Source organism: Homo sapiens, chromosome 10, assembly GCF_000001405.40.
Source record: "Homo sapiens chromosome 10, GRCh38.p14 Primary Assembly".
NCBI classification, from domain to species: Eukaryota; Metazoa; Chordata; class Mammalia; order Primates; family Hominidae; genus Homo; species Homo sapiens.
Window position 1 is genome coordinate 19,383,510 of NC_000010.11, and position 19,859 is coordinate 19,403,368.

At 35.0% G+C, this 19,859-nt stretch overlaps 1 protein-coding gene across 10 annotated transcripts in view; it reads left to right on the forward strand.

Moving 5' to 3' along the window:
* MALRD1 (MAM and LDL receptor class A domain containing 1) overlaps positions 1-19,859 on the forward strand; it is a 687,552-nt gene that overhangs the window by 336,583 nt on the left and 331,110 nt on the right. For all 10 annotated transcript variants that reach the window (XM_011519453.3, XM_011519455.3, XM_011519454.2 and 7 more), the window contains 2 exons: positions 4,019-4,264; positions 5,943-6,100. In XM_011519453.3, coding sequence (XP_011517755.1) covers positions 4,019-4,264; positions 5,943-6,100 — 404 coding nt within the window. The remainder of the gene's footprint in view (positions 1-4,018; positions 4,265-5,942; positions 6,101-19,859) is intronic.

Sequence of the window (19,859 nt, forward strand, 5' to 3'; positions counted from 1 at the left end):
TGAATGTGTATGTGTCTTTATGGTAGAATGATTTATATTCCTTTGATAACTTTTTGATAATGAATATGAATTGAGAGTTACTAAGTACATACCTTATATGGTTCATGCTGCTTAGTCTATTACATGTTAACTAATTTTAATCCTTGTAACTCTGAAAGGTAGACAAGTGTTATTATTATTTCCATTACTTAGGTAAATCATATTTACATGTGATGATCAAAATATCTCTTCCAATAACAAAAACTTTATGGGCTGCCTATTTTAAGTCTGTTTCTTATTCAGTATTAAATAGATACTAGATGCTAAGCCCTGGGTCTGCAGCAAAATGGAAATAGTACATTCTCCAGGACTTTGAGAGAGGCAGATAATTTAAGCAAGGAATTAAAGTGCGGTGAGTGCTATGATATGGGAAGTGTGAGGTGTTATGGAAATGTATAGCATTTAAGTTTGTAGAACCTAACTTAGACCAAATGGTAAAAGAAGGGAATCCTAAGAAAAAAGACTTAAGGTCTGAATGATAATTCTGGTATTGGAAGATAAGTATTCCAGGTAAGAGAGAGCATGGTGTGAGATGATATTGTGGTTTGCATTTGCATTCCTCTGATGATTCGTGATGTTGAGCATCCTTTCATATATACATATATTGTCCACTTGTATGTCTTCTTTGGAGAAATGTCTTCTGCCAATTTTTAAATCAGGTTACCTGAGTTTTGTCCTATAGAGTTGTAAGAGTTTATATATATATGTTAAAAAACATAATACATATCTTATATATAATATATGTATTATATATGTATTATATAAATATATATTATAGTATATATAATATAATTACTATATAATATATATTATATAGTATATAATATAATATTTACTATATATTATATATTATATAGTATATATAATATAATATTTACCATATATTATATATTATATAGTATATATAATATAATATATACTATATATTATATAGTGTATGTAATATAATATTTACTATATATTATATATTATATAGTGTATATAATATATTTACTATATATTATATATTATATAGTGTATATAATATAATATTTACTATATATTATATAATATATAGTATATATAATATAATATTTACTATAATATAATATATAGTATATATAATATAATATTTACTATATATTATATAATATATAGTATAGATAAAATTATACTATATAATATATATAATTTCATTTATTCTTTTTATATTTGAATGCTTCATTTTTTTCTTTTTCTTACCTAATTGCTCAGGCTAGGACTACTAGTACTAGTTTGAATAGAAGTGCCAAGACTGGGCATTAATTCTTTGCTCCTTATGCTAGAGAAAGAACTGAAAATTTTTTACTGTTGAGTGTGATGTTTTATTTGAGCTTTTTATATATGACCTTTATTATGTTGATGTAAATTCCTTCTATGTATAGTTTAAGAGATTTTATTATGAAATGGTGTTGAATTTTGTCAAATGCTTTTTCTGCATCTATTGAAATGATCATAAGATTTTTATTCTTCATTCTGTTAATGTGGGGTATCACATTATTAATTTGCTGATGTTAAACTATTCTTGCATGTCAGGTGTAATCTTATGTGGTAATGATGTATGATCCTCTTAAAGTGCTGTTGAATTTGGTTTTCCATTATTTTGTTGAGGATTTTTGCATCCATATTTATTAGGGATATTGGCTGTAGTTTTCTCCTTTTGTAGTGTTTGTGCATGGCTTTGGTATTGAGGTAATAAAATGAATTAGGAAATGTTCTCTTCAATTTTTTGGAAGAGTTTGAGAAGGATTAATGGCAATTCTTCTCTGAATATTTAGTAGAATTCACCCTTGAAGCCATCTGGTTCTGGGCTTTCCTTTAATGGGAGGGTTGTTACCACTTCAATCTCATTACTCATTATTGATCTGTTCAGATTTTCTGTTTCTTATGATTCAGTCTTAGTAGGCTGTAGGAATTTCTAGGAATGTATCCATTTATCCAAGTTATTCAATTCTTGGTGTATAATTGTTCATAGAAGTCTCAATGATCCTTTATGTGTCTATGGAATCAGTTGTATTAACTCCTCCTTTAATTTCTAAGTTTATTTATCTGAGTCTTCTTTATTCTTTGTTCATCTAGCTAAGTGTCTGTCAGTTTTATCTTTTCAAAAAATGAACCATGTATTTTATTGACATTCTCTATGGTTTATTCTCTATATTATTTATTTATGTTCTAATCTTTATAATTATTTTTGTTCTGCTAACTTCGGCCTTAGTTCTTTTTCTTCTAGTTTTCTGTCAAATAAAGTTAGGATGTTTATTTAAGATCTTTCTTTTTTAACGTAGGTATTTATCACTATACACTTCCCTGTTAGTACTGCTTTTGCTGCATCTCACAAGTTTTGCTCTGTTGTGTTTTCATTTCATAAAATATTAATAATTAACCAAAAAAATTTTGTCATAGACAGAGTCCATGGTTGAAGCTTATTTTCAATGGCTTCATAATACAAAGTCCACCTAATTAGGCAACCTCAAACAGTTCAGGAACAGCATAACACTCAAAATTGCCAGAAGCCTTCATAATACGTTTCCTCTCCAGTGGCTTCAATGTGGCATTCCATTCATCTTCATCTTCTACTCTCTTCCCTCTTGACCATCTATTGTCTAAAATGTGAGACTTATCCAGGAGGTACAAGCTTCTATATGAGGTTGTATCACCAGCCGTTTCCAGCTCCCAGAAAACCTTATAATAAATACCTGAACTTCATCCCCTACCTCTGACCCACATCAACCCTCATCTACCAGGTAACTTGCCTCCAGAGGTTCATGTGGCAGGGTGGGGCTACCACCTTTGAAGTAAAGCAAGGAGTGATGTTATCAGCTCCTCTACCTGGAAGAAGGAGAAGACAAGAAAAAAAAAATGTCAGATCCTGTAGTGTCAGAGAAAAAAATGTGAAGCTGATATCCCAAGCTGGATTTCTAAACAACTTTTTCTATTGAAATATTGTTACCCATGACAGTTAAATTCTGTTGTAATATTGGAGTAGTATAATAATTATGCCTTCAATATACATTCTAAATAACCTCATTCCAAAGCACTTTATTTCCCTCATTCATGTATTTGACTAATATTTACTAATCACATAGTAAGGACCAGGCACTGTTGTAGGCACTGGTGAGATAGATATATATACACACACAAATACATATACATATACACACACACACACACACACAATACTCTTTTAAATTAGCTTAACTTCTCTAGGATTTTGCTCTTTTTTTCTCTTTTGAGCTAAGGAAACTAAAATGTATCAAATGTTGGTATGATCCAAGTCATGTTACTAATAAATATTAGCACTAGAGGTCAAACTCAGGTCTTCAAAAGCATTGCTTTTTCTCATGTTTTGTAAACAAATCTCTATGGTTGGCATTGCATTGCAGAAAAATTGCTTCTAAAAGTCCAAATTATAGACAAATAAATATGCATTTTAGAGAAAAATCTGTTGTAGTGTCAGTTATTAGTTATATATGCATAGCCGTGCTTCTAAGGAGGTATCTTACATATCGTGGCTTCTGAAAAATATTAGAGTGGACGGATGCTAATGGAATGTATTTCCAAATGCCACATAATACATGATCTCTTAGCTGCTTAAAGATTTTGTTTCAGGATGAAAAAATAGAAGGCCTCACATTGGCTCTCAGATATAATTTACATCCTTGAACACAGTTTACAAGGAATGTTGCATTTGGGGAGATGGAGGGGTACTTTCCTAGATCAATAAAGTGATGCTTTTTTTTTTTTTTTAGCATTTGTGAATAATCATAGTCATGAATAAGCCTCTATAGGTTAGAGCTCTGGAGCAGAGTGGGAGAGAGAGAGATGGGGTTCAGGTACCTCAAATTCCTAAGAACAATATGTTCCTTTATAGATTAAAATGAATCCACTCTTACTGCTTTTTGACCTCACTGAATGTGTTAGGAGTGTTCGCTCATTCTTGTTTTCTTTTGTTTTGTTTTAGGTTTCTGCCCACTTGGCTATAGGGAATGTCATAATGGAAAATGCTATAGGCTGGAACAAAGCTGTAACTTCGTAGATAACTGTGGAGATAATACTGATGAAAATGAGTGTGGTAGCTCCTGTACTTTTGAAAAAGGCTGGTGTGGCTGGCAAAACTCCCAGGCTGACAACTTTGATTGGGTTTTAGGGGTTGGCTCTCATCAAAGCTTAAGACCTCCCAAAGACCACACACTTGGAAATGAAAATGGTAGGTTATTAGATTGTTGTAATTGCTTTCACATGATTTTCACAATGTACATCAAAATGTCTTTTCTGATAGCAACTGGGGAGCTCTGAAGAGACCACCACGATGGTATTGCAAGGCGATCAAACATTTAGTGAGTGTTTTTTTTCTTAGGGCTGCTGTAAGAAAGGGCCACAGAGTGGATGACTTAGACAACAGACATTTATTTCTCAAATTCTGCATGCTGGAAGTTCAAGATCAAGATATTGGCAATGGTGATTCCTTCTGAGGGTTGTGAGGGAGCATGATCTCTTCCATGTCCCCTCTTAGATTCTGGTAGTTTCATTAGTTCCTTGGCTTGTGTATGGTGGTTTTCCCTAATTCTTCACATCATCTTCTCTGTAAGCATGTCTGTTTTTAGGCCCATATTCCCTGTTTCATTAGGACCCAGTCATATTGGATTAGTGTCCATCCTAACAGCCTCATTTTAACCTGATCATCAGCAAAAACCCTATTTCCAAATAAGGTCACATTCATAAGAACTGGGGTTAGAACTCTGGCATATTTTTGGGAAGGAGAAAACACAATTCAAACCATAACAGTTTTTAGCCAAAATCCAATATTAATCATTAATTCAGCAATTGAAGTTAGATGATAATGTATGCTGCCATCAGACATCTTTCCTAAATGGTACACACTTGTAATCAATAACCCTGAATTCTGCCACTCATGTGATCATTAGCAAGTCATTTAAATTTCAGATTTTCAAATTCCTCATCTGTCATTTTGAGATGATAAAATTTGACCTGTGTGCCTCACAGAGATTGTGGAGATGATGTATATGAAGAGAAAAGAGTTTGAAACCTATAGAGATGCCATGAAAATTTAACTTTAAAGCCACATATGTTAAGGGTGTTGGGCATGGCTCATTTTTGTAGTGAGTGGCTGAGACTTGATGAAGGAATAAAGGACAGTAGCAGAATAAAGCTTGTTACTTTATTCCTTGGTGAAGGAACTTTTTTCCTTGGTGAAGGAATAAAGGGCAGTAGCAGAATGAAGAAGTGACCCTGAATCCCTGGATGCTACGTCATAGGCAAAGAAGTCTAAATATTGAAATTCCATAGGTCTACTGAAAAAAAAAAAAAAAAAAGAAAAACTGACCAAGGCAGGGAAAGCAAGACAAAAGTCTCATTCAAACACTCAGCTCTACATACATGAAATGTTATGGATATGTCAATGTGCAAGAACAAAACTGAATACCTTTCTTCCCATGTTACTTACTAAATTTCTTAGTGTTATATTTACACACTCAAGAGATGACTAAATTTTTAAAAGCAGACCATATCACTCTTTTTTTTAGATTTCATTGGTAGTCTTTACATTATTTTACAATCACTTGGTAGTTTGGGAAATCTATAAAATAATTTTTGTAGCTATCTTGTTGATGCGACGGCATAAATATCCCATCAGATCAGTTAATCTGCATACTGTGAAGCACGTGCTAAAAGCACAGACAGTTGGAAATTGTTCTGTCAGCAAGCTAGAGGCGAGGCTATTAGATTTTCTTTCTGTTCCAAATGAAAATACTTTTGGCAGCTCAGATCATACGAATTGTAATTAAAGACCCTAACTATGATGGAAATGCAAAAATAATCCCATCATTGTTATTTCGTTCTTCTCTGAATTCTGTCCTTGTTCCTAGGGCACTTCATGTATCTGGAAGCTACTGCAGTGGGCCTTCGGGGTGACAAAGCACACTTCAGGAGTACCATGTGGCGAGAATCCAGTGCAGCCTGCACCATGAGCTTCTGGTATTTCGTATCTGCAAAGGCCACAGGATCCATTCAGATTCTCATCAAGGTAGGAACATGGCCTGTGATGCCTCTGAGCTTGTTTTGTTCTGTTTTAGAGACAGGGTCTTGCTCTGTCACTCAGGCTGCAGTGCAGTGGTGCAGTCATGGCTTACTGCAGCCTCCAACTCCTGGACTCAAGCGATCCTCCTGCCTCTGCCTCCCGAATAACTGGGACTACAGGCATGCACCATCATGCCTGGCTAATTTTATATTCTTTGTAGAGAATAATTTTATATTTTTTGTAGAGATTTTATATTCTTTGTTGCCCAGGCTTATCTCAAATTCCTGGGCTCAAGCAATCCTCCCACTTCAACCTCTCAAAGTGCTGGGACTACATGCATGAGCCACCACACCTGGCCCCTCTCTATAGGTGGCATGTGGCCTGAGGGAGTTGACTTGGCTAGAGAAGGCCCCCTGTTTTTCAAAGGTGCCATCTCCTGTGGCTGAAATGATCTATGGGGTTTGGTAAGCTGAGACATGAGAACCAGCTTTGAGTTCAACATCATATCCTGTGATTATGACTGAATCCCAGAGACTCATTATATAATAGTAATTAATCTAGGACACATACATTTCTTCTTCCTATTTAGTTGTTTCCTTCCCTTTCCTTTCCAATAAAAGAAAATAAATTATTTGTGCATCTGAAAGAAGACCGGCTATCCATTTTTCCTCACAGATGAGCAATCATTAAGGGAAGTAATAATAGACATTCTGGTTCTAAGCACACTGTGCAAAGGACTGAACTACTCAGGAGAATCATCAAGGTATGATTACATGAAACTGCTTATTAACTGACACAGTAATGCATTTTCTTAGTAAGGATTAATTGGATGTTTCTGTCAGAGCTTTAATTTAGTATAACAAAGTGACAGTGTTCAGGGAACAAAATAACATAGTAAATATTAATATTAATGAGACTTGGTCAAACACCTTTACTCTTTACTGAGTTAAAACAGTAGCCGAAAGGAGATGTATATGTGCACGTGCAGGTATGTGTGTATTTATTTGAAGAATCTAGGTAGAATTCCAAGAAAGCTTACTTTAAAGCATGCTGTGGAGACCATTGCTTTTTTTTTTAATGACACATGAGCTTTGGTTAAGTGCCCTGGCACTGATAGAAAATGCCTGAGCTGAATACCAAAGAGCTTATACCTATGAACAGCTTATGTCTGCAGAGTCTATGTTTTATTGGAAACCAGAATTGACTTTATAACTTAGAACTCTTCTATAATGATGCAGAAAACTCTGCCTAATAAAATACATGTTGCAAGAACCACAGCAAATCATTCTTATATTTAAAGATGGAAACTTACAAAAATATAGCACTTAAAGTTCTCATAAGAGGACTTCACCAACACCCTTGAAATGTGATACTTGATTCTATGGTGTGCACCATGTTAGAGATTTTGTACTGTTCTCTGGGGTTTGCTTTGATTATTTGCTTCAGTCGTATTTACATTTCAATTATGTTACAGTAACAAACTTTTTATTTCTAGAAAGTGTAATACTAAACCATTTTGCGATATTAGTCTTCCTACCAATGGCATAGAATTCCTGTGGTTCCTCTAATTGATTCTTAGGGAAATTTAACAGCATTTTAAAAAGCCTGTCTTCCTACTGTGCACACACACAAACATACACACACACACACTTAAAAAGTATATGCCTGTACTTAGTCACGTTGATTGTGAAGAAATCTCTCATAATATATTTGGATTCTATATTCATGAATATTAGGGCAATCATTTCATCTTGGTGATTAATAAGATATGTATTTTCAACCAGCCTTACAGAGTAGTTATTTGGCTGTCTCCATGTGGAATCATGCTAGATTTTACCTTGCTCATTAGCTTGAAAGCATCCTAGCTAGATGGTAAGCCCAATAAAGGCAAGGATTCTGCCTCCAAATTCTTTCTTTACTCTTCGTCTTTTAAGATGTTCCAGTATACACATTCGCTCCCTCTGGCTTGGCACTCCCTGTCTATTCTTAGTTAGGCCCCCTTCTGTGTTTTCTGGCTTTTCCCTCCACACCGAGTCGCACCCAATCGGGAAGACTCGACCTTTTGCAGAACTTTCCTTGGCCACATTTGCCTAGCCTCCCACAATGATTCCTTTTCTGAGTGTCTTGCAGTTCCAGAAAGATTCCTGCTAACTGGCTGTTCATTAGAAATTATTCTAGTTCAACCAACTGATTGTAAAGTCTTGAGAGCAAGGCACTGAAGTTTTAGGCTTCAAGTGTCACTCTCAGATCTTCAGAAAAGGGACTGCTGGATGAAGCAAAAAAGTGGTGGCCTCCCAGAGGTTGTGGCTGGGCTGGAGCCAACCCTTATTTAGGACAACCCTTGCGAAGGGATGGCCATTGTGCATTACATGCATGACGTTCAAGTCTAGCCTGAAGAAGCATCTGTCATCTAAATCAGAAACATATACATGGAATCGGATTTAAAAGCATGTGCCATTGAACAATAATTAATTGGTAGCCTCATTTATATGGGGTAATACTGATTATAGATCGCTACAACAATGCATCCATAAATATGTCATTTATAGAACACCATCACTTATATTATTTCATGGAATTCTTAACACACCCCTCTGAGTTAAATAATGGGAGCCTTATTTTACTAAAGGGGTAGAGGAGTCACAGAAATAACTTTACCACCCTATAGCTAAATACCCAGTCAGTGACAGAGTGGGAACCTGAATCCAAGTATGTCTGGGTCCAAAACTCATTTGTTTACTCCCAACCCTGAGCCCCAAGTGTTCCACACTGACTTTAATATTGAAATGAAGATCCCCCTTTATCGAGATCTATACACATTGCATAGAATATTTTTTAGAAAAAAACAAAATGAATCATGGTTCTTAGAATGGCCATATATGATTCTTAAATGACTCCTGTAATAAAAAAGTAAATTCAGAGAAACCTCAACAAAGCAAAGCTATTGCTTTTGAGAACATTTGGTAAAGAGCAGTACCATATTACCTATTTCTGTATTTTTTGCCTTTGGTTACATGAGAATTGCTTTTCATTAGAGAGATGTAACTGAAACAAATGTAAGTTTTGTGTCTTCAGTCAAGCAATGGGTGAATAATAAGAGGATCAAAAAAATTGAGAAATTGATGTTAATTTTTTCATTTTCTTGAAGTTTGCTTTAGTTATAAATGAGAAAAAATAACCTTTAAAAGGATGTAGTTAAAGTTTTTTGAACGAATAACAATTTTTTAAATACAGTTTGTTTGGTATGCGATCAGAGGGTTTACTAGGTAGGATGATTGGCTCTCACTCTCTGCTTCAACCAAGCCAAACACTGTGTGCATGAGATTCAGCCTGTGGGAAGCAATGAGAATCTCTGTTACTCCACTCCTTCATTTTATGAGTGAGTCAAGAGAGGCTCAGATGAGCTAAGTTATAAACTCAAGGTCACCAGTAAGTGGATTGACTATGACTTGAACTCAGGTATTCTGAAATTAAGTTTAGAAAGTCTGCATAATTGGTTGGGTGTATGTCTTTCTAAGGAGTAGGTTTGGCTGTTAATCTAAGTTAAAATAACTGGGCCCTATCTTTTTCTGAATTTTATAATAGTTCATTTTTAAAATGGCATCCTTATTTTTGCTAATATTTCTCATTTTTCATTTTTAACTGATTTATATTCAGTATTAAATTTCTCATTAAATTTAAATGCATTACCTTCCAGACCACCTAAGATTTAAAACAAAAAATAAAACAAGTACTCAAGAGTAGAAAATGGGTTTTACAACATGAAATTAACTTTTTTCACAAATTTTACTCCCACTATTTTACCTATTTTCTAGTCACTTGTTTCCTGATGAGGTTAATTTTTTTTTTTTTTTTTTTTTGAGACCGAGTCTCGCTCTGTCACCCAGGCTGGAGTGCAGTGGTGTGATCTCGGCTCACTGCAAGCTCCGTCTCCCGGGTTCATGCCATTCTCCTGCCTCAGCCTCCCAAGTAGCTGGGACTACAGGCGCCGGCCACCACGCCTGGCTAATTTTTTTTTTTTTTTTTGTATTTTTAGTAGAGACAGAGTTTCACCATGTTAGCCAGGATGGTCTCCATCGCCTGACCTCGTGATCTGCCCACCTTGGCCTCCCAAAGTGCTGGATTACAGGCGTGAGCCACCGCGCCCGGCCCTGATGGGGTTAATTAATGATGAGTAATATGTATACATGAATACACTAAAAGTAATTTCAGGGAAATTTTGAAATGGACTTTGTTTTCCACAATTTGTTTTCATTGGGTAAAATCTGTCTAGCCTCTACAAGAAACAAAAGACCTTTGCATCTTTTCAACCAGCCTTTTGAATAAAATGCAGGAACACCTGCTACCTGAAGAGCATTATCTTCTTTTGGAACTCTTCCATCTGTAATAAACTGTTGATGTTTTAATCAAGATTACTGCATGCTTTAGGGAATTTGAATATATTTAATTGAAGGTGTTCAGGACTATCCATTATGCAGTCATGATAGAAAACATAATGTATTCAAGCCAGAAGTGGAGAAAAATAATGTGTTTCAGGAGAGCCCTCCTGATATAGCAACCTAGTTATGCTGAAAGACCACAATTAAATTAGTTCATTGCTTTATCTTGCTTAGTGGTTCAGATAACTTTAGAGTTGGTGGGGTCTTACTCTCAGCTATTCATTTTACAGATGAAGGAAGTAAGAGTAAGAGGTTATATTTCTTGCCTCAGCTCACATGGTATTTTAAGAAAAAAGTCAGGATATGAATTCAGTTTTTCTGAATTCTAACTTAAGGCTCTTCTACATGTCTTCCTAGAAATTTTATCTAACAATTTTGCTATGTAATAGGGAAATAAATATTTTGTTCAAGAGGCTGTGGAAAATGTCAGATAAAAAGAAGCTAGCTTCCTTTGATTACGTAAAAGACTGTGGTCATTCTGGGTCCACTTTTAACTTGAGTCTAGGGAGCAATGAGCCTTGGTTGTAGACAAGGGTCAACTGAATTCATGGTAAGCTCTCTGCATCCATCCAAACCCACCTCCACCCCATCCTCTGCACGCATATTCACCACTGCCATAATCTGAAAAGATTTACAACACAGATTGAGTATTCCTTATCCAAAAATCCAAAATTTGAAATGTTCCAGTGAGCCTTTGCTTTGAGCATCATGTCGACCTTCTAAAAGTTTTGGATTTTAGAGCATTTCAGATTTTGGATTGCGGGGTTAGGGATACTCATCCTGTAATTGCTTATACTAGAGTAGTAATCAGACAGGTTTTCAAAGTTAGGTTTATTTTGATATTGACAAGCTACTGAATATCTAATGTTATTTTGAGTATACTGTTTGCATTTTATTCATTATTTCAGAAAAAGAGTATAGATAATATAGGTGATTCATAGAATCTAGATAGGGAATTTGACTTCTCCAAGACTATCATGTGGATTTTGGAATGTAAATCAATTAAACCACATTTTTAGTGCTTTTTCAGAATCGTTTCAGTATCTTAGCAGTGTAATCTGCATAGTTTTGTTATATTGTACTAGTGTACTTGGCCAAATAATTGAAGAAAAGTTGATCCTTTCATTTCAAGTTGTGAACCACCAAATATCTGAGACAGATCTCAGTCAATTTAGGAAGTTTATTTTCCCAGAGTTAAGGACGTGTGCCCATGACACAGCCTCCAGAGGTCGTGATGACATGTGCCCAAGGTGGTCCGAGCACAGCTTGGTTTTATACATTTTTAGGTAGACATGAGACATCAATCAACATATGTAAGATAAACATTGGTTTGTTCCAGAAAGGTGGGACAACTTGAAGCAAAGGGGGAACTACTCGAACTGGGGAGAGGGCTTCCAGGTCATACGTAGATAAGAGACAAATGGTTGCATTCCTTTGAGTTTCTGATTAGCCTTTCCAAGGGAGGCAATCAGTTATGCATGTATCTCAGTGAGCAAAGGGATGACTGGATAGAATGGGAGGCAGGTTTTCCCTAAGCAGTTCCCAGCTTGACTTTTCCCTTTAGCTAAGTGATTCTGGGGCCCCAAGATTTATTTTCTTTTCACAAAGGTGTAACCACACAAGATATCAACACACCCAGAGTTTAATTCAGTTAGTTGCGACAACATCACAATGCTCTAGTTATATAAAATAAATATTTCTTTATATCATCTTGGAGAACATGGCAATAATTATTCCAGGCATATTTTTGAATATGTGAGATTTTTCTTTTAAACTTCTTCTGTTCCCATGTTCTTTACCTCTTTCAGTGTCTCTACTATTTCCAAGTAGGAGTCCTACTAAGCTAGTTCCACTGGAATCTCTTCTGTCTTGAAGAAAAGATTTCCGTTAGGATGCTAACACCTTAGTTTAATTTATCCCAGGAGCCCAGGAGTTTTTGCTTTACAGAGAAGCATATAGTCGGCTCTAAAGAATGACATTATCACTATTATTGTTGCCATTCTATTTCTGTTTCTACTCCCACTAGCACTGCTACTCTTGTGTCCAGTCCAAATATTAACTAATTCATTCATTCATTCCTTCGTTTCTTTTTTTTTTTCTTTTTTTTTTTTTTTTGATGGAGTCTCGTTCTGTCACCCTGGCTGAGGTGCAGTGATGCAATCTCAGCTCACTGCAACCTCCACCTCCTGGTTCAAGCGATTCTCCTGCCTCAGCCTCCTGGGTAGCTGGGAACACAGGTGCACGCCACCACGCCTGGCTAATTTTTGTATTTTTAGTAAAGACGGGGGTTTCACCATGTTGCTCAGGCTGGTGTTGAACTCCTGGCCTCGTGATTCTCCTGTCTCGGCCTTCCAAAGAGCTGGATTACATTCATGAGCCACTGTGCTGGCCTCGTTTATTTCTATGTCATGTGCTAAGTCTTCCAACTATATGAATCCATTTAATCTTCAAAATAAGATGGCAAGGAAGATACTTTGTTTTCTAATTTTACAGACCACAAAATGAAGACCCATGTCACATAAAAATTATGTTGAATAATCAGGATTAAAAAACAATTCTAGCTTCTATATTCATACTCTTAACCACTATACTCAACTTCTGCTATTAGAATTTAAAATATTCTAATACTCAGGAGTCAGAGAGGTTATTGTCCCTCAAAGTTTTCCAGTGTCTCTGAAGTCATAAAAATCAGAAATTTCCATCTCTACATATTAATAAATCTATAGATGTATTCCACACATGTTACAGAGGAGAGGTGACTACTTTGTGTTCATCAACTTCAGCAGTTTTGTTTTTCTAACTTAGCTTGCCAGCATCTAGTAACAGTTACTGCATTTATCTAAATTATTCCTTATCGTATTTAATATAACTCAGACATTTTAAAATCATGCTTAATATAGCTGCATTTTATTTTTTAAATTATTTTTAACTGACATAATAATTCCACATATTTGTGGGGTACAATGTGATGTTTTGATACATGTATACATTGTGTAATGATCAAATCAGGGTAATTAGCTCATCTATAACCTCAAATATCTGTCATTTCTTTGTGGTAAGATCAGTGAAAATCCTCTCTGCTAGCTATTTTGAAATACATATTATTTTTAATTATATTCACCTCACTGTGCAAAGAAACACCAGGACTTATTCCTACTAACTGTAACTTCATACTCCACCAATCTCTCCCTATCTTCACCTCCCCTGTCCCCTCCACATTCTCTAGTAACTACTGTTCTACTCCCTGCTTCTATGAGATACATGTTTTTAGGTCCTGCATATGAATGAGATCATGAGGTGTCTTTCTGTACCTGGTATATTTCACTTAACATAATTTCCTCCAGCCTTATCAATGTTATTGCAAATAACAGGATTTCATTTTTTTAATGGATGAGTAATATTCCATTGTGTATATAGACCCCATTTTCTTTATCCATTTATTCATTTTTGGACACTTAAGTTGATTGCATATCTTGGCTATTGTGAATAGTGCTACAATAAACATGAGAGGACAGATATCTCAACCTATTGATTTCATTTCCTTTGAATATATACCCAGTAGTGGATTTGGTAGATTATACGGTAGCTCTGTTTAAATTTTTTTTTGAGGAACCGACATACTGTTTTCATAATGGCTGTACTAATTTATAATCCCACTAACAGTCTGCAAGGGGACAGTGTTACTGGGTGTATAACACTTGTTATACTATTTTTGCTTTTGTTGTCTGTGAATTTGAGGTCTTATCCTAGTTCCACAACGTTGCTAACACTTCTTTATCTTTTGTCTTTTTGATAATAGCCATTCTAACAGGCATGAGGTGATATCCATCATGGTTTTGATTTGTATTTCCCTGATGATTAGTGATGCCGAGCATTTTTTTTTTTCATATATCTCTTGGCCATGTATATGCTCTCATTTAAGACTCATGTATATTAAGGTCTTTTTCCCATTGTCTAATCAGATTATTTGCTTTTTTGACTATTGAATTTTTTGAGTTCCTTATATATTCTGGATATTATCCCTTTGTCAGATGTAGAGTTTGCAAATATTTTATACCATTCTGTAGATTGTCTCTTCATTCTGTTGATTGTTTCCTTTGCTGTGCAGAAGCTTTATAGTTTGGTGCAATCTCATTTGTCTATTTTTGCTTTTGTTGTCTGTGAATTTGAGGTCTTATCCAAAAAAATCCTTGTGCATTCTGATGTCATGAAGCATTTCTTCAATATTTTCTTCTGGTAGTTTTATAGCAATAGCTGCATTTAATGTTGGTTAGGAAAGAATGAATTAGAAACAAATTAATACCAATTATTAAAATATTTTTAAAAATCTGTAATAGTGACTTTGAAAAATATATGTTAAACAAGAAGACTTATGGAGGATGAAGTAACTACCATTATTTTAAAGGCGTGATGAACATAAATGATACTTTTGAGACAGCCAAAGTATTATAATGGGATATTAAAATATCTACCATTACTATTGGTGAGGAAGTCACAGGTACTACTAATACCTGTGATCTGTTGCCTGTATTCACAATTTGAAGAAAATACCAGAACTTTAGTTGAAGTTTGTGAAAATAAAGATGTATTTCCTCCATCCATGTTATAACTCTCTTGAAAATTAATATTCTATTTATAAGGAGGCTGAAGAATTTTTAATTTTATGAGGACATCTATCTTATGTGCTCAATGTTTACATTATTTATTAAGAAATATTAGTGTGCCTTGTCTGCACAGGAATTTCTTATATAAAAAAGCAATTCCAGTTTCTAAAATTTGAGATACATTAAGTCACTGAAGATAGCATTCTATCTGAGACAAGTTTAGAGCAGACTAAGTATAAATAGGTTTAAATGCTGCCACAGCAAAGAGCTATTTCAGCCAACTAGACATCAGGCCTGCAGCCAGGTAGAGTCAGCAACTTCCATACTGGCTGCTCGTGAATTAATATAGTGAGAGATTTGTCACCCAGACTCAAGAGTGTCTCTTCAAATGTCATAAGTAGTCATAGACATTGTCATCTTAGGTATTATAAGATCTGAGAGAAGGAAGAGAATAAAAGCAATATTGTGGCTTGTCTAGTTTAAAGTGTGGCTTCACATGGTTGCTGTCCATTTGCCCACGGAAATTTTGTAGGTTCAACTGCTGTGCACACAACTAGTCTGTGTAGGAATCCTGAGAGCCAGTAAATTTCAATTTAACTTCTGCTTATTTACTGAAAATATTTGAATTTTGATTATTTCAAAGACATTTTTCATGGTGAAACATTTCTTTTTTACTCTTCTCATTTTTCTAGGGCATTGCTTGAAAAATTGTAACAGTTTTCAGCACATGATAGTAACTGTTTGTAGAACTCGTTTAAGTTCTTAATTAATTTTTAATGCATACTCTTCATTTTCTGTGGAGTTTGCAATACATGCTCCAACCAAAGTAGGGTAGAATTGCTTATCAGTGGGCTGATTGTTCTAACTGAATCACATTTCTGACTCGGATGCTGCTATAAGTTTGGCAGTCCGTTTTTACCAATTACAGATTACAGAGTTGGAGTAGAGAGAAAACCCTTGTGATTCACTCTTGTATGCATTGATAAAATAAGCAATTAAAATGGCAATAATCTTAGATATCTTATCTCTGTAAGAAATGAATATACAAAACAATACCATTTGTAATCTTTGAGGGAATTTTAATTAAAATAAATGTTTTAAACTTTTTTTAACAAATAAAGAAATATTTAGACTTACATTTTCTAGATTAGTGTATTTCTTTACATCTTCTAAAGAAGTCAGGAATATTTTCTGATAATCTGTTGTGACAATAAAGCTCCTTGGTAAATTCTGCTACTGTTCTCCCACTGTGGATAGTATTATGTGAAAGATATAAACAAAAAAAACTGAGCAGTTTGGGATATACTATGCCCAACTTAGACTATTTCTAACTAACAATTCCTTTAATTTAGGATTACAACTTTCTTCTGCAAATACTGAGTTTCCAGCTCCTTCCCAATTCTTTTCACCCTTGCTTTCATTCATTGCGATTTAAACATATATTTAGTGAGCTTTTCCTTAATACACTGTCTACTATCATGGAGCTTGTGAGTTTAAAGTGGGCTTAACTGCTGGCAAAAAGCAACGGTATGGCATGGATTCTTTCTATCAGAAGTTGTAAGAGCTTCTCATTAGAAAGTGAATGTCCTTCAATATTTAATTCTCCTCATTCTGAAGTCGTCCTTTTCCTGAAAAGGTAGTTTATAACTTCATGTGCTACATTCTTGGCACTGGAACCTCTCTGAGGTTCATGGAATGAGTTTGAATTCAGTGGCGGTGTGTTCCCATATGATTAAGTCTTTGTCTCCTGGCACTGCTATGCTGCATGATGACTGAGTATGTGAAAAGTTCTGTTCTCCAGCGACAAGGGAGGCTTCATGACGCAGACCTCATCTGCCTTGTTTACTGTCCTGTCTGTAGCAAGTAGCTTAGTGCCTAGCACATAGTAGGTATTAAACACATATTTTTTAATTGAATGAAAGATTGAATGTACAAGCAGTACATAAATGCCAACTCTACAGAATAATTCAATATTATAAGAATTAAAAAGCTACTGAAATATTTATAGACTGAAAGTGTTTAGAAGAAATAAAAAAATTAAATTGGATTTTGAAAGACAAGTAGAATTTGGAAAAATAGAAGAAAGAGGCCAGGTGTGGTAGCTCACGCCTATAATCCCAGCACTTTTGGAGGCCAAGGCAGGCAGATCACTTGAGGTGAGAAGTTTGAGACCAGCCTGGTCAATATGGTGAAACCCTACCTCTAGTAAAAATACAAAAATTAGCCAGGCGTGGTGGCACGTTCCTGTAATCCTAATTACTCGGGAGGCTGAGGCAGGAGAATCGCTTGAACCCAAAAGGTGGAGGTTGCAGTGAGCCAAGATTGTGCCACTGCACTCTAGCCTGGATGACAGAGGGAGACTATGTCTCAGAAATAAAAAAATAAAAAAAGAAGAAGAAGAAAGAAAGGAGAACATTATTTCAAATGAGAGAATACACAAAGGAAGAGAAGCCTGGGATGTATTGAGTGGCCCCTGAATTCACCAATTATTGGATAGTAATTAAGGATATGATATTAATGACAATAAAAAATAAGCATTTATTCTACCCTCTACAGTCTATGTCATACATTTGCATATCTGATACTGTGATTCTATTTGTGTTATTTAACATAGCACTGCTTTCATTGTTTCTATAATTTTCAATTATTTCTGACTTATTAACATATTTAGCTTTAATTTAACTTCGTAATCATTTCTTTTGGGTAACTTCTAACATAATGTATTTAAATTAAATGTTATGTACCAAATTATATATGGAAATTAGCAGTTTGTATAAACACAAATAATAGGAAGTAATCGAATTGAAAACTAATCCAAAACTGCTTTTTGAATGGCAGAAGGAAAACAATTGAAAAATGAAATCCTTAAATATTATTTGAATGACCTTAACTTTTAATTTTTTCTTGATATGAGAAAACAAATTTCAACTTAGTTGCTAGATATTCATTCAGACATTGACATTATTTTCTTTGCAGCAATGGACATAAGGATAGGTAAAATAACTTTTGTAGAATTAACAAAATATAAATTTTTAATTTAATTCTCGTGGCTCAAGTTCACACAAGATCACAGAGAATAAAGCATAAAAAGCATTAACACAACAGTCAGTGGCAGCCAACAGGCACACACTGGCCACCTCTAGTGATACGACTTTAAGATTGATCAAACAATCAAAAGAGAGTTATTTAATCAAAACAATCTATTTGCCAACATTTTGTAGCATTTGTCTTGTGTACTTTTTATGTAATTTTGAAGAACTCTAATACCACTCATGTTGATACTTAAGAAAACATGATACTTACATAAACCCAACAAGAATAATTAAATATTGAAGAATGAGACTTACATGTAACACTGAGCTTTGGAAAGCCAAAAACTACGTGATATCTAAAATTCTGCTCCCTCAAAACCAATTTTTGTCCCCTTGGGGGCAATATTGGCCCCTCTTAACAATGCATGTTATACCCTCTACTTTTTCTCCAAGTCCCACCTGTCAGTCTCTGAGAATGCTCTTTCTTCTGGGAAGGCCATCGTTCTTTATCTTTTGAGAGAGCAAGTTGTCAAACTTAACACAATCACCAAACTTGAGTCCCAGAGATTGAGACCATCATGGGCAACGTAGCAAGACCCCATGATATGGTTTGGCTGTTTCCCCACCCAAATCTCACCTTGAATTGTAATAATCCCCATGTGTCAATAACGGGGCCAGGTGGAGATCATTGAATCACGGGGGTGATTTCCCCTGTACTGTTCTCTTGGTAGTGAGTAACTCTCAGGAGATCCAGTGGTTTTATAAATCGGAGCACAAGCTCTCCTGCCTGCCACCATGTAAAACATGACTTTGCTCCTCACTTACCTTCAGCCATGACTGTGAGGCCTCCCCAGCCATGTGGAACTGTGAGTCAATTAAACTTCTTTCCTTTATAAATTACCCACTCTTGGGTATGTCTTTATTAGCAGCATGAGAACAGACTAATATACCCTATCTCCAAAAAAATGAATAAAATAAAATAGTTATTCCCTTAAAATCTTTCTTAATAAGCCAGGGTAACCACATATTATTAATACACATGTGTCTTCCATGCTCTTATTTGTGCCTTTTTCTTATCCATGCCTTTGTTAAATCCATATCTTTTTCTACATTTGGAATGCTTGTCTCCCTCCATCCTTCCCCCACCAAACACACACATGTAGATTTTGACATAACCAAATCCTGAACATCTTCCTAGATCCAGATTGAATATTTTCCCTTCTGCGTCTTGTCACTTACTACCACTACCTTGAAAGTCAGATGTAGGCACAATTTAGTTTTGTGTCCTCCGTAATAAATGGCTCATTGTAGACTCATATAATGTTAGAAAAAAATAAGACATTTATAGTGCTTAAAGAAGCTTAACTATAAACAAGGAGAAAAATATGTGAACCTATAATAATAATTTACAAAGTGGAAGATTTAGGGGAAATTGGAAGCTGATGATGGAATTATCTATGCAGTCTAAAAAGAATTTATGTTTTCCAAAAAAAAAGTCTAGTTTTGTAGTCCTGATTTAAAACCCTTACATCATATTGTGAATATTATGCCTCCATGAATAAAAAATAGAAGCCATAAAAGTGGACTTGGATGAATTACTATTATTTTTATAAATTAGACCATCTGGTTATGAATTTACTTTATGAATTAGACCATATGTATTAGGGTTTTGCCATTAAAAATTCCATGA